Source organism: Homo sapiens, chromosome 9 (assembly GCF_000001405.40).
Source record: "Homo sapiens chromosome 9, GRCh38.p14 Primary Assembly".
NCBI lineage: Eukaryota > Metazoa > Chordata > Mammalia > Primates > Hominidae > Homo > Homo sapiens.
Genome location: NC_000009.12, coordinates 5,542,771 through 5,558,370, shown reverse-complemented (window position 1 = coordinate 5,558,370; position 15,600 = coordinate 5,542,771). Strand labels below are relative to the sequence as shown.

The following is a 15,600-nucleotide window of genomic DNA, read 5'->3' as shown; positions in this document are numbered from 1 at the left end:
AGCATGCTCTGTCCCAGCTGGTACAACAGAACAGGAGTGTGTTGGTAAGAATACAACAGGCTAAGGAGAAACTCGAAGGGAGCTGCTGAAAGACGTTAATGCACCACCAACCAGCTGTTTCCTTATCCCCAAATGGCCTCACAAACCTTTCTCCTTTCCTTACCCAACCGTGAGGTTGAGATTCCTGGGAGAGGGGGTGGGTTTAACCCAGGTCATATCCAGACTGGGGAAAAGAGGGGTGAAAATGGAAGGAATCCTCAGAAAGGATCCTGGCAACCTCCCACCAGCAAAATCGGAGCACGTAGCTCTCTGCATTGCCAAAATAACATCACTCTCATGAGGCTGATGAAAGCTCTTGGCTCAAAGAATAAGACAAACTCTTTCAGACATAAGAACAAAACATTCCCTTTAAAAAACTCAGTGTAAGAAGTTCAGCTCACTGACGATGAGAGCCATTTTCTTCTGGGGAAAAATAATCATCAAGACAAGCTCAAAGTGGTTCATAAGCTCTGAGTGGGTTTAGCATGAAAGCAGCAAGCCATAGGCCTGCAGTGCAAAGCAGTGGCTCATGCTGCAGACACCCAGTGCATTGGGTTACCATGAATAAAACTCACTTACCTTTTGAAGAATACAGCTTTTGACAGAGTTGTTTTCTTAGGGCTATCACTGTGGCTATGAAAATGAAAGCAATGATGCAGAAGGGGATGAAAATGTGAAGCAGCCAAGTTGGATGGGTCCTGGGTTCCATCTGACCTGGGCAAAGGAAAAGCACCAGAATCCTGTTACATGGCAACTAAGAGGTAGACCAACAGGCTGGCCACATGAGTGGGTGACAGCCAACACGGCTAGCTCTGTGGAGCATTTACTCCACACCAGGCCCTATTCTAAGTGCTCTGCACCTATCAGCTCATCCACTCCTCGCAACCACTCTGTGAAGTTGGCTCTGCTATGATCCCCATTTCACTGGTGAAGAAAGGGAGGCACAGAGAGACTAGGAAGCTTTCCCTAAGTTACATAGTAAGTGACCCAGCTAAGATACAGTCTGGTTCCAGATTCTGTGCTTTTTACCACTCTCTCATGTTATTTTTTTCCATCCATCCATCAATCCATCCATCTATCATCTAATCATCTTTCTTTCTTTTTTCTCTTTTTCCTCCCTATCCCCCTTCTCCTCCTCATCCTCTCTCTCTTCCCAGTGGCAAAGTCTCTCAGCCCAAAAATGTCTTTCCCCCACTGACAAGTACTCACAGTGCTTAGAATCTATACCATTAGTTGTTAAATTTCAAGGATTAACAGGATCCTTTTGGAAGAAATAGAATATCCTAGGTAGTGTTAATATACTAAACCTAGTCACTCATGCCTTAGTGTGAATTATTACAATTGGCCCTTTGCCTTGTTTCGGTTTTTCAACGTCCTAGCACTGAGGAAAGGGTGAGTTTAGTAGAGGGTGGATCAGAAGAATAATTCTGGAGGCTGGGGAAAGCCTTGTAAAGTCCTCTGGTGTGTACAGATTAGAACAAGGGCTCCAGACTGACAAAAGGCAGGGCTAGAGGAGTGTTCACCTACAGGGAAATGAAAGGGTACTCAAGTTAATTTGTGCCCTATTCAAAAGCTTGAATTTTGCCTCTGGAGTCATTCACATGGAATAAACATGACAGGCTGGTACAGGAAAAACTGGACGAAACTGCTCAGCGGGAAGGGCTCAGTCCTCCCAACTTCCCAGCCCTCAAACCCCACTACCTCCAGCACAGTGCTATCTGAGAACCACGGATTGTTTTACTGGAGAAGAGATTAGACATTATTTAGTCTGAGCCCCTCATTTTAGAGTTGAGGAAGTAAGTCTCAGAGTTGCTAAATAATCTATGTGAGGTCATCACTGCTAAGTAAAAGTCAATGCCAGGATTGCAAACCCAGATCTATCTGACCCAAAGCTCAGCCCCCACAGATATTTGTCTCCATCCAAAAGAGTGTGATTAACATTAACGAAGAAAAGATAAGGAGCCTTGCTCATCCAAACATTGGATAACCCATATTGATTATAATCTGCTTCTTAATTTCTAGTAAGTGCTTAGTAAGCACTTTGTGAGTCAAGGAGACCTGGGCCTCTCACTGTCCCCACAACAGGAGAGGTCCCTACCTCAGTGTCTTTATGCAAACCCTTGTCCTGTGCAGGTTCCCTCATAGTCTCTTCCACGTACAGAAGCCCTACTCATCCCTGAAGACTCCAAAGTTGAACATCCAGTAGGAAATCAGTCTGCTTAGACTGTATTTGGAGGGCAAAGGCCTTATCTAAACTACCTCTGAGTCCTCTCTAGATAGAGCCAAGCAACAGCTACATGAAAAGTGCCAATATGGAATTGTTGCACTGAATTGACTGTCTCTTTTCTAGTCCACCTAGCCTGATCCTCCTAGTCATTTGTTACCTTGTGGTATACTGCTGGTTAATCCATTCTTTCTTTCAACTTTAGTATTAGGGAATTAGCTGGACACATGGCTTCTCAGAGACTATGTTTCCAAGCCTCCCCTATAGTTAAGTGGGCCCAGCCATGTAATCTAAGTTCAGGCTAAGAGAGTGAGTTTTCAAGGTCTTGGCCTTAAAACATTGAATGTGTTTTCCACCACTCGTTTACTTTCTGAAGGTTGAAACATGGGTTTGGCACTGACTGAGCTTTGACAATTTTATAGGGACAACATCCTGGAGAATGGCAGAGCAACAGATGAAAATAATCTGGATCACTGAATGACTCTATGGAACATAGCTGCTTAGCTGCTCTGAACCACCTGAGTGTTACATGGAACGAAAGATACTTCTGTCTCGCTTCTCACTGTATTTCGAGGTCTCTTCATTATGGTAGCTTAGCCTGTATCCTCATACATATTCCTCTAAGTTGTTTTAAAATTCTTGCATACTCTTTTGTCGTTTCTTTAATTTAATTAATTAATTTATTTATTTGAGAAGGAGTTTCCCTCTTGTTGCCCAGGCTGGAGTGCAGTGGCATGATCTTGGCTCACTGCAACCTCCGCCTCCTGGGTTCAAGTGATTCTCCTGCCTCGGCCTCTTGAGTAGCTGGGATTACAGGCACCTGCCACCATGCCTGGCTAATTTTTTGTATTTTTAGTAGAGACGGGGTTTCACCATGTTAGCCAGGCTGATTTTTGAACTCCTGGCCTCAAGCAATCCACCCATCTCAGCCTCCCAAAGTGCTAGGATTACAGGCATGAGCCACCGCACCTGGCCAATAATGGCATACTCTTAGCAATGATATAATGATGCAATGGCAAAAAATATTTGTCTTATCCTTGCCACAACTTCATGAACTCACAAGTAAGGCATGCAACTTGCTAGATATACCATTTTTTTTTACTGTTTGCACACTTTCTGAGTACTAAGCACTTTATAAGCACATTTCATTTAATCCTCACTATAACCCTATAAACTGTCTACCACTACTCACCCTCATGCTACACATGAGAGACTGAGTGCTAGAGTGGCTAAGTAGGATATTTAGGTTCTCAAAGCTAATAGAGAGAGAGTTTGAAATTTAAGCCTGTCTGACATCAGAGCCCATGCTCTCAACCACTGCCTGGAATCACCTCCAGGTCTCCTAGGAAGGATTCTCTTTTCTGCCAGCCCTACAAGGGTCCTTTTATATTTATTTTTTGTGCTGTAGTCCCATTCCATTTCCTAATGAAAATACAACAACTGGCTGAGCAGAAGAAACCCTATTTCAAAAGGAAAATGATCTGTTGCTCCCTAACTTGTGCTTGAAATTTGGAATGTTCAGTCATCCATTCTAGAGTCAGTGGAGTACCCTCCACCCACCATACTCTTCGTTTCCGTGTTTGTTTTATACATTGACTTCCGGAGAAGCTTGTGGGTCACAGCAGTCCACAGCTCAATTTATGAGAATGAGTAGAAAGGGAACAGTCATAAGACAACTTAAAAATGCCCTTGAGAAATAGAAGCCAGGAACTCAGAGGCAGATGTGTGACTTTGGTTATTTTGTTGCTGGTATTTGTGCCACAAGCTAGAATATCATTTGGCTGCTCTGACCTGGCTGTCCACACAGTCTGGTAGCTGGCATGATGGGACTGCGATTATCTAAGATGGAATCTCCAACCCAATCAACCCAACATTTGTTGAGCACTTATTATGAACACAGGACTCTGCTTTTGCCTTAGTGTGGAATAAAGAAGACTTGTGTGAACAATGAAAATACATGGAAAATAAAATAGCAATTAAAAAGGCAAGCATAGTTACAAGGCAAACAAATGGTCCAGGTAGTAGGTCTCAAAATGTGGGATGAGGGAAAGACCCCCTTGTGCCCTGGAGTGACTGAGCTGCCCCAGAGAGAGGGTGGGCTTGGAGCTAGTAGAGAGGGAAATAATGATATTTATGTGGAAAAACCTGAGCAAAGAAGGCATGGAGGTAGAAAAGGTGCAGCCAAGTTCAGAGAGCATGTGGTGAGGAAGGGATGGTTAATGAAGCAGAGGATCCATGTCAGTAAACAGTAGGACGAATACAAAGTTGGGAAGGATGGGTAAAACCAGGTTGAGAATTTCTGGCTGCACAAAGATTTCTCCATCTCCCTGATGGCTGTATTTATGAGTGATACCCTAGGAGATCCTGAGCTCTGATGAAGACCCCACAGGTCTCTCCCATGGTTGTTGACTATTTAGTAAGCCATGTTGGCTTCCATGAAGAGAGTGGAGTGGCCATTTTACTCCACTGTTAACTTCTCACAGCGTAAAGGCTTCCAGAGCAATGGTCAGTCTGCCCTTTCACATCTCTACCATGCAGAATAGAACACTGACATAATCAGTGGTGTAAAGTTATTTCTCAATTCATCTCATACAGGCCCCTGTTTCCCTGGAGAGGTTCTTATATAAGAAGCGTCTTTCTAGAAAACTACAATTCATCCAAAGTACTGGCCTACACTTAACCAGGCAGGAAATTCCATATAACGAACGACAGTTGAATAAACAATTCCAGGGGAAAAAAGTTCTCGTGGGATTGCTCATATTTAATCCTCTTTAGAGGCTTTAGCTTTAGTATGAATTAGTTAGAGTTCATCTTTCATGAGGTGAGAAGTCTGTGGTCTCAACCATGATATAAAGAGAGGTAGAGAATGTTGAAAGACCAACTTGCCTAATTCATTTTTTTACCTGAAGTTGGTCCTAAAATTGATGGATTTCTAGTTTCTTTCTTTCCCCTCCCTACCTCCTCTCCCCTCCTCTCCCCTTTCCTTTTCTTTTTTGGAGACAGAGTCTCACTCGGTTGCCCAGGCTGGAGTGGAGTACAATGGCACAATTGTAGCTCACTGTAACCTCAATCTACTGGGCTCAAGTGATCCTCCTGCCTTGGCCTCCCAAAGTGCTGGGATTACAGACAAGAACCACCATGCCCAGCCTCTAATGTTTTGATTTCAGTTAAGATCCTTAGCATGACTCCTCTCTTTCCTTCTAAACTAATAATTTAGTTAGAAGGAAGTTGGGCTAACTTTAGTGTTGGCATTGGGTAGTAAATTGTGGATAGGTAGGGAAGTGGGAAAAGGGGAGAGATGACAGTGCATCTAGCTGCCTCTGAAAACTGTATCAGGGAAGAATTTTTTCCAGAAGAAAATACCAGGAAAGTTATGATGAGATGGGTATTTAGTCACTGCAAAGTTCTTGGAGTCTGGTCTGTGGATCAGTGTCACTCCATGAAAAAATTAATTTTAATTTGGCATAAAGCATCAGATATCTCTGATGCCTCAACTCATACCATGTCTGCCTCACCCCAACTGTACTTGATGGTGGTAGTTCTGTGCAAGGTCTAACTCATTTCCTCCTGACAACCTCCTCAAGCATGTTCTACGTCTGTACCAGGGCTATCCCAGTGCTGCAGGTTGGCCCCTCTCACCATTACTTCTAATGACTCACGTATAGAAGTTCACTCAACCCCACACATTTAGGCTCTGCTGAATCAAAGGTCTGGCTTCCTACGGGGAATTCTAGCAGGGGATACTCTGCTTGTTCTACTGCATCTAAAGCTCTGCTACTGGCCTGGCCACCTTGAGCTCTTAATATTGGCAGACCAGTGAGCAAAGAAAAAAATTACCATACTGGTGGAGAAATCAATCTTGATTATCATGAAAATCTTGAACACTGCTACATAATGGAGACAAGGAAGAGTATGTCTGGAACTCAGGGGTCCGCTGATTCACTGGTTCTTTTTACTTCCATATCCAGTGATAATGAAAAGATATTTGCAACAACCCCAGTCTGTTAAGGGCATGCTGATCAAAAGCTCAGATCTCTTAGGGTCGTTAAGTCTGGGTCACCCTATCAGGCAAAGAAACCATTCCATCTGGGGTGTTAGGTGAGGGAAATCTGGAATGTATGGTGGATGAGTGAGACAACAAATATCAACTGTGGCTTGGGATCCACAGCAGCAGCAGGAACTACAGCTTGTTCCACAAACTGGTGTATATTAAATCTTCTGCAGAGATTGTGGCTGCCTCCCAGCTGGAAGGCTCAGTGGCAGAGCTGACTTAATGAAGGGCATGAGTGGATTTGAACAGTACAATTGGGGACTGTGCAGTCCTGCCTTATTTCCTCTCAGCCTCACCTTTCACTTCAGCCAGCTGGGGTAGAATTCTAGTTAGGCTTACACTCACTTCAAGGTCAGTAATTCACCTCAAATTGGATACTTTTCTTTCTGCCCTGCGACTTTTCTGATGCTACGGATACTGGGGAAAGCTCACTCAGCCCACATGCATGTCTAGCCCAGCAGCAGAATGGAGTTCATATTCCTGTCAACCAATGGGCGTGAAGCAGATGAACAAGTCCTTCCACCTGAAATTCTTTGTCTGAGTAGACATCTTAGGAGGCTGTCTACATGCTGGTCCTTGAATATTTGAGTTTCTGTTGTCCACACTACAACTTTGATAATATACTCTTATATTACCCTCTCTTAAACTCCTAAATCTCTTGCTTCTGCCCTCTGGGGTTGCCAATTAAATACCTGCATGCCACACAAGTCCTTATCATAGGCTCTGTCTTACCAGCTAAGACAAAGGGCAAACTGTGAAATACAATGACAATATAGTGAATTTTCTATAAAGCCAGATTGAATCAGTACTAGGGACTGTCCTTTAGTCTGAGAGTATATCCCTTCTCAGTAGGATAAATAAAATTATGGCTCTCCCCAAAGATGTCCATATTCTAATCCCTGGAACATGTGAATATGTCACCTTACATGGCAAAAGGAATTTTGAAGATGGACCTTGAGATGGGAAGATCACCCCAAATAACCAGGGGGATGGAGTACCTAATGCAATCACAAGGGTCCTTAAGAGGTGGCAAAGAGAAGCAAGCTAGTTAGGGAAAGAGATGTGGCTGATCATGATGGCTCACGCCTGTAATCCTAGCAATTTGGGAGGCTGAGGCGGGCGGATCACCTGAGGTCAGGAGTTTGAGACCAGCCTGGCCAACATGGTGAAACCCATCTCTACTAAAAATACAAAAATTAGCCAGGCATGTTGGCATGTGCCTGTAATCCCAGCTACTCAGGAGGCTGAGACAGGAGAATAGCTTGAACCCGGGAGGCAGGGGTTGCAGTGAGCCGGGATCGTGCCACTGCATTCCAGCCTGGGGGGCAGAATAAGACTTCATCTCAAAAAAAAAAAAGAGAGAGAGAGAGATGTGGTGACAGAAGCAGAAGGCTGAATGATAGGGTTGCTGCCTCTGAAGATAGAGGGAGGGGCCATGAGGCAATTAATGCAGGTGGCCTCTAGCAGCTGGAAAAGACAGGAAAGTGGAATCTTCCCTTAGGGCCTCTGCAATCCTGCTGACACCTTGATTTGAGCCCAGTGAAACTCAAGTCTGGCTTTCTGACCTCCATAAGTATCAGATAATAAATCTGTGTTGTCTTAAACTGTGAAGCTTGTGGTAATTTGATATAAGAGCATTAGAAAACATATGCACTCGGTGATGAAATTACCTGTCTCTTACGAAATGATTATGATACTAGGTGTTAGTTGTCCTTACTGGGCAGATAAAAGTTGTTATTTTCCCAAGATTGTTTGAAATTCTGCTGTATGAAGTTCAAAAGTATGGGATCCCTTCCAAAAATATCCAGCATAGTCAGTAAAGGCTCTGAAGAATTTTGTTAGAGACCAAATTTCTTGGAAAAACCCATAACCAGCTGACTGGCAGCAAGTACAGCAAAGGAATATTCATCCTGCTGGCTCATGACACTGTGCATGAATCACAGTGATTAGCTATTGTACTAGATATTTTCTGTTTCCTCTCCAGATCTATTCTGTACATGTCAATATTGCTCTGAGCCCTGAGAAGTTGACTTTTATGGAATACAACAGTGGACCCTTGTATTCTCTGACTTCTAGCTGGGTTCAGCCAATGGGAGGTGCTAGCAGGAGATTGGAGGGTGGGAGGAGAATGAGTTGGGGTATTCATTCATCCAGTTTCCACCCTTTGGAGTCGCTGCATGTGGCAGCTTCCCTATTCTGTGGCTACAGCTCCTGGGAAGTGGGGCTTTCCCTACAGCTCCCTTCTGATTCCAGTAACTTCTCCAACAGTGGTAATTGCCCTCCCAACATTGAAGCCCCAGTGTTCTGCACTATCCTTTGTAGTTTCTCCAAATGGTGATCACACCTTTGTAAACAGTCCCTTTATTACACTCTCCTCAAATCACTCGAGTATGCCATCTGTTTCTTGTCTGAACCCTAACTGATAGACCTAGGAAGTGGGGGCAGCTCTTACTTTGAAGGTCAATGCTGGCCAAAGTAAGTTCCCTCACGTGAGTATTCCAGAACACACAGCTGAAGTTTCTGCCAGGGGGTGGCTTTAGGCGCAGAACACTGGTGACCTGGTAGAGGCCTTCAGGGGTCCTGGAGTGGCTGGTGTTGGCAGGAACGCTGACGTTTGGCCAGGATACTTCTGCCAGAGGATAACCTGTAGCCTGGCAGGTGAGCTCTACCTCATCTGTTTCTGGAACCTTTAGGATGTGAGTGTTTATTTTCCTGTAGGAAGCTGGACAATAGAGAAGAAAAAGAAATAAGACTTTATTTTCTGATTCCTATAGAGCTTGGTACTTCATGCCATGTGAAATGAATAAAATTATCACTATCAATATTAAGTAATAATGGTTATCATTTGTAAACACATTGTATATCCCTGATATCATGCTATTTTCCACATATATTGAATTATTTAATTCTTACAATGCAATAAAGATGGCATTGTTGATATTCCCAATTCTTGTGGACGGTTACTGAAGATAGAGAAGTTGAGTGTTTTGTTCATAGTCATAGAGCTTATAACTGGTAGGACCAATATTTGAACATTGGAATTCTGATTCCAGACCTCAACAGTGGTCCAAGCTACCACAATTTGTGGCTTCTTTCTTACAGTGCTATAAATTATTTCACAATTGGAGGCCAGAAAGAGGACGGAAAAATAAAAATCACTAGATTACCCACTATCTCACTTTATTTGGTATTTTTTCCAAACATCTTCAGGCAAAAATTTACTTTTTACTTCCTCCTTTCCTCTGTTTTCTTTGAGATTAAGAAGAGAAAAAAAATAAAGACCTAGATAATGTCTATACATAGTAAAGAGTTGGGTATATTTATTCTGCACTTCTCCCTAACACATGCAGATACATACACACAAACACACACAGTTCATACACACACCTGCTTCTTTGCAGTATATGCTGAGTGAATTAAACAGATATGGCTCCCTGCCTCAAGAAAGCTGAGATCTAAGTATAGTCATTTTGGAAAATAGTATAGAGGTCCTCAAAAAACTAAAAATAGAATGACCACATGATCCAGCAGTCCTACTTCTGGGTATATATCCAAAGGAATTGAATTTAGTATGTTGAAGAGATATCTGTATTCCTTTATTCATTTCAGCATGATTCACAATAACCAAGATGTGGAACCAAACTAAATGTCCATCAACAGAGAATGAATAAAGAAAATGTGGTATATATACACAATGGAATACTTACAGCCCTTAGAAAGAAGTAAAATCTGTCATTCATGACAACATGGATGGAACTGAAGGGTATTATGCTAAGTTAAGTAAGCCAGGCACAAAAAGACAGATAATGTATGATCTCATTTATTTGTGAAATCTAAAAAAGTAGATCCCATAGAAACAGAGTAGAAAGGTGGTTATCAGAGGCTGGGGATGTGGAAGATGTTGCTCAGTCTCAGAGTAGAGGAAATGTTTTAGTGATCTATTGCCATGTGTGATGACCACAGTTAATGCATTCTGTATTCAAATTTGCTAAAAGCATGAATTTTTTACATTCTCTGTTTTGAGATTAAGAAGAGAAAAAAATAAAGACCACAAAAAAACAACTTGGTGATGTGATATGTTAACTAGTTTGATTTATTCTTTTTTTTTTTTTTTTTTTTTGAGACAGAGTTTCGCTCGTCACCCAGGCTGGAGTGCAACAGCGTGATCTCGGCTCACTGCAACCTCCACCTCCCAGGTTCAAGCAATTCTCCTGCCTCAGCTTCCTGAGTAGCTGGGATTGCAGGCACCTGCCACCATGCCTGGCTAATTTTTTCTATTTTCAGTAGAGATGGGGTTTCACCATGTTGGTCAGCCTGGTTTTGAACTCCTGACCTCAGGTGATCCACCTGCCTTGGCCTCCCAAAGTGCTGGGATTACAGGCATGAGCCACTGTGCCCGGCTTGATTGACTCTTTCTATAATCTATACATAGATCAAAACATCATATTGTACCCCATAAATATACATTATTGCCAGTTAAAAATAAATTTTAAAATTAAAATAAAACATTACAACCTTATAAAAACTTTAAAAATAAGTAAAATAGGCATGATATTCCAAGAGACTAGAAGACACAAGAACAAACCTTCCAGTGGTCTTAGATAATAGCTAAAAATAAACAAATATCAATACCATATGCAGTTACCAGGCAGTGTGGAAAGTCACCTGTTGATATTTGGTGAGAGGAAGAGGGGATGAGCACTGGCTTCCATTCGGTAGGAAATATTCTTTTAAGAAATTAAATTTCAATACAATTTTTGAAGTAAGTGTAGTCTTGAAGTAAAGGCAGAGGTGTGATACAACTTTTTTCTCCTAAATTGTTGGAAGTATAAATAGGTACAAACTTTGTGAAAAACAATTTCACATTAAAATAATGGTAACAACCATGTGAAAACCATCTGATGTGTATGATTTACTTATTGTTTTCTATGTGTTGAGCTTTGTGCCACGTCCTTTTACATCCTATGGAAGAGAAGGAATGTTCATGCCGTTCTTCACAATTTTTGCCCCTCTGTTCCCCTCCTGTGTTGTGGGTCTCAATGTTAAGAGTTGACAATTTGATTCATTATAGCAAACAACACCCACTAGATCTGGGTTCACTAGAGAGCAGGGTCACTGCACAATGAAACATCCACCAGAACCTGCGTGCACTTTGGCTCTCCCTTGAAGTTCTCGTCTCCATGTGGTCAGCACACCCAGCTGGGCCTCCTGGTATGTCCCAAAAAGCTCTGACATCTTTCCCCCTAATGTATAAATATACATAATACATATAATACATTATGTCATTTAAATGATATGCAGACCCTATGAGGTGGGTAAAATTCATATTACTATTTTGTAATGCATTCTTAATTGGAATCACCATAAGAGGATGTGTCTCTGTGTAATTGCAGATGTCTAGGGATGGTGCAACATAAGCAGATAGAGGAATATGCTCTGAGGTTCTTAGGAGCACCCAGCAGTAGTAGAAGATAAGGCAATTCAGACACTGAAGCAGCCTACTGAAGGACTTGACCTGTTAGACTCACCAATCTCCTTGAAGCCAAAACTTTGGCCTATCTTTCATAATCAAACAGTACCCGAAGTGTGTATTTCGAGTACTCACTTTATCTCTCATTTTGTATTATTTATCTACACTTATTTTCCCTTGGTTCAATGTCTTTTGTAATCATTTTATATGATCATACTGTAGATTATTTCTGTAAGCTCTCAAGTCTTTTGGGGAATGAAGTAGAACAAGAACAGGAGCAGAGTACTGTGGGTGAGGGTCCAGCCCACTATTGCAGGTGGCTTGGACCAAGAAACTGATCTTGGTGTCCTGGTTGAGAAGTGATTTCAGAAGTAGGGATGCCAGGAATTGGGAGCTTGGCTGAGGCTTTGACTTGGGATACATGAGGGAGCAGATAGGGAGACAGAGAGAGAGCTCTTCCACTACAAGAATCAGCAAGGTTTGGGGAAGGGACAGGAGCCCACATCCTACATTTTTGCAGTATCAGAAATGTCTCCACAGCCTCTTTCTTATTTGGAAGGTGGTGGAAAAGGAATCGCTTCCCACAGTGGGGAAGCTGGACTGAGGGTGATATTCTTAGGAAAAGATGAGTAAATTTTAGAATTTAAGAGGCGGAAGTACTCCAAAAATTCAAGTCATCTGACTTATTGCTCAATGAAAAACACCTTCTACAGCAATTCTCCTAGATAATTGCTTTGATGATTGTTCCACATACGCTTGAAAACAATGTGTGTTCTGTAGTTGCTGGGTGTATGTTCTATATATCATATGTCTATTAGGTCAAGATGGCTAATTGTGTTGTTCAGATTTTCTATTTTCTTAATTGTTTGTTCTATCAGTTGTAATAGAGATGAGTTGAAATCTCAAATGTAATTGTGGATTTGACTGGTTCTCCTAAGTCTGCCAATTGTTGTTTAATATTTTGAAGCTATACTGTTAAATGGACACACATTTAGGATTGTTATGTGTTCCTTTAGAACTCACTCTTTTATCATTATGAAGTGTCCCTTGTTATCTTTAGTAATATTTTTCTTCTGATATTAGTAAACTGCTAAATAACTTTTGCCTGAAAACATCTATGAATGGAAACTCCTACTTCCTCTAGAAGCAGTCTTTGCCATGATTATACAATAAGCAAGTTAAACTTCCATTGGAAAGATTTTCTTCATGCCAAGCAAAATTGTGCCTCTTTGTAGCTTCTACCCATTGGTATTTGTCTAGTTTAGTAACACAACATATGGTAAGCACCGTAGTTAAAAACATGAGTTCAGAATCTGAGCAGTTTGAGTAGGCTTTAGCCAAGGGCTAGTTATATGACCTCTTAAACCCTCAGTTTTCTTGTTTAGGAAATGGATACAGCAATACTTATCCTTAACAAGGGTGTTAAATAATTAGTTAGATGTCTAGAACGTAGTAAACACTCAATTAGTGTTAGCAATTATTGCAGGTAACCCTTCTGATATTTGAATATAACTGGGAAGACTCCATCTAGTCTTTTCAACCCTAAGTAAAACATGCCTACCTCCTTTAACTATATCTCACAAGATACAGTCTTCAGACCCATTTCCAGATAGTAGTCTTTGGTTATAGTTTAGTTTTGCCACGTTCTTTAAAAAGGATATGTAACACAATCTATATTCTAGATATTATCTAAGCAGCACAAATATCCAGGGTTTTAATGTAACCTAAGGTCATAAGATCAGTTTTGCTAAATATATGATCTGCTGCTCAGTTAGGTTGGCTATATCCTTACAACCTGAATAACAGACCCCTTAGCACTTGGAGATTGTCTCCAAGTTGACTGAGGCCATCAGCCAGCCTTCGTTGTCCCTGACTCAACAACTACTAGCTTTTCAGTCTGTTATAGATCTAGTCAACTGTATTATTATCCCACCTTTTACCACCCAATACACAAGGTGTGTGTGCTTTGTGTGTCCTGGGTCTGTTTGCCTTCAGATCCATCTCTCACTTTTTCTTCTCTGCTCTGTGTTGCAGGAAGGCAGACTCCTGTGGCCTGTATAGCCTAGGAACGTGACAGCCAATAGGAAGCAAGACAGGAACACTAGAGGGTGGACTGGAGGGAGAAGGGAAGGTATTTCTCCCCTATGCTCTATACTTTTGTGGCCTCTCCAGCAGAAGATGTATCTCTTCCCTGGCTCCAGATACCAATGGACAGGCCCACTGGGTTCCAGTGTCTGTCAAGTGACTTTAATCCCTGGGCTCCATTAACCCTGCCTTCCCCCTTTTCACTATAGCCTAGTGGTAGGAGCAGCTTTCTGCTATTGCTAATTTCTGAATTGCTTCCCTGTTCTCTGTTTGGCTTCTCAGTCTCCCTCATTAAAAGAATTACTAGTTTCAGCTTTAGATTTCCACAGGTTTAAATGGTTTCTGTTTCCCTGGTTTGTTCTGGCTGTCTGACAGATATGTTACAAGCAATGCTGTAATTTCTGAAATAAAGATGAAATGTATACATGGTAGTATCTGTTTTATAGTCATAATGACAGTAAATAAATGGAAAAATGTAGTTTTACATGCCTTGGTCTTAGAGGATCTATGCAAGTTTCTAGTAATCAGTTAAATCTTTTAGGACTGCTTTCAATTCATCTGTTAAATTGCCTGAAAAGGAATAGCAGGTTAACGAGTTTGTAATCCCCAGGAGCTTCCCCTCCCCCCCACCCCATTGAAATTCAGGACATTGTTTTCTTTTTTAAAATAATTTCTTTCTTTATTTTTAAAAAACGTGTTATTTTACTCCTAGGCTTCCCGCTACTGCAGGCGGAGCTCAGGACATTTTCTTGACTCCGATTTTCTTACACCCTTCTGTTTCCCCAAGGGAAAAAAAGACACTGAGACTTGGCTCTTTTAGCAAATGCTTTCCTTGGGCCTTAGAGGCTTAAACGTACAGTTGTCTTTTCACTGCTGCCTTGCTTCTCTTTGATTGTTTCCTTCCTCTGCCCTTGGTTTCTTCCTTCTTAGGGTGAAGGCCATTTTTTTTTTTTTTTTTTTTTTGAGACGGAGTCTCGCTCTGTCGCCCAGGCTGGAGTGCAGTGGTGCGACCTCTGCTCATTGCAAAATCCGCCTCCCAGGTTCCTGCCATTCTCCTGCCTCAGCCTCCCGAGTAGCTGCGACTGCAGGTGCCTGCCACCACGCCCGGCTAATTTTTTGTATTTTTAGTAGAGACGGGGTTTCACCGTGTTAGCCAGGATGATCTTGATCTCCTGACCTCGTGATCTGCCCACCTCGGCCTCCCAAAGTGCTGGGATTACAGGTGTGAGCAACCACGCCTGGCCCAAATGTGGAGTTTTTTATCTCTCACCCCCAACCATCCTTTCCCCTAAGTCCTGAAAGTCCATTGTATCATTCTTATGCCTTTCCATCCTCATAGCTTAGCTCGCACTTATGAGTGAGAGCATACAATGTTTGGTTTTACATTCCTGAGTTACTTCACTTAGAATAATAGTCTCTAATTCCATCCAGGATGCTGCAAATGCTATGATTTCATTCCTTTTCATAGCTAAGTAGTATTCCATGGTGTATATATATAATATGCATATATATATGTATGTATAATATATATACCACATTTTCTTTATCCACTCACTGATTGATGGGCATTTGGGCTGGTTCCATATATTTGCAATTGCAAATTGTGCTGCTATAAAAATGCGTGTGCAAGTATCTTTTTTTTGTATAATGACTTCTTTTCCTTTGGGTAAATACCTAGTAGTGGGATTGCTGGATCAAATGGTAGATCTACTTTTAGTTTTTAAAGGAATC

General features: G+C 41.8%; 1 protein-coding gene and 1 long non-coding RNA gene across 3 annotated transcripts in view; one reads left to right on the top strand and one right to left on the bottom strand.

The window, feature by feature from the left end:
* The window catches only part of INCR1 (interferon stimulated noncoding RNA 1), a 172,297-nt gene that overhangs the window by 71,357 nt on the left and 85,340 nt on the right, over nt 1–15,600 (top strand). The gene's annotated exons all lie outside the window — the stretch shown is intronic.
* PDCD1LG2 (programmed cell death 1 ligand 2) overlaps nt 1–15,600 on the bottom strand; it is a 60,752-nt gene that overhangs the window by 12,912 nt on the left and 32,240 nt on the right. For both annotated transcript variants that reach the window (XM_005251600.4, NM_025239.4), the window contains exons 4-5: nt 8,767–9,036; nt 619–753 (exon numbers count right to left, since the gene is read on the bottom strand). In XM_005251600.4, the coding sequence (XP_005251657.1) occupies nt 619–753; nt 8,767–9,036 (405 nt within the window). The remainder of the gene's footprint in view (nt 1–618; nt 754–8,766; nt 9,037–15,600) is intronic.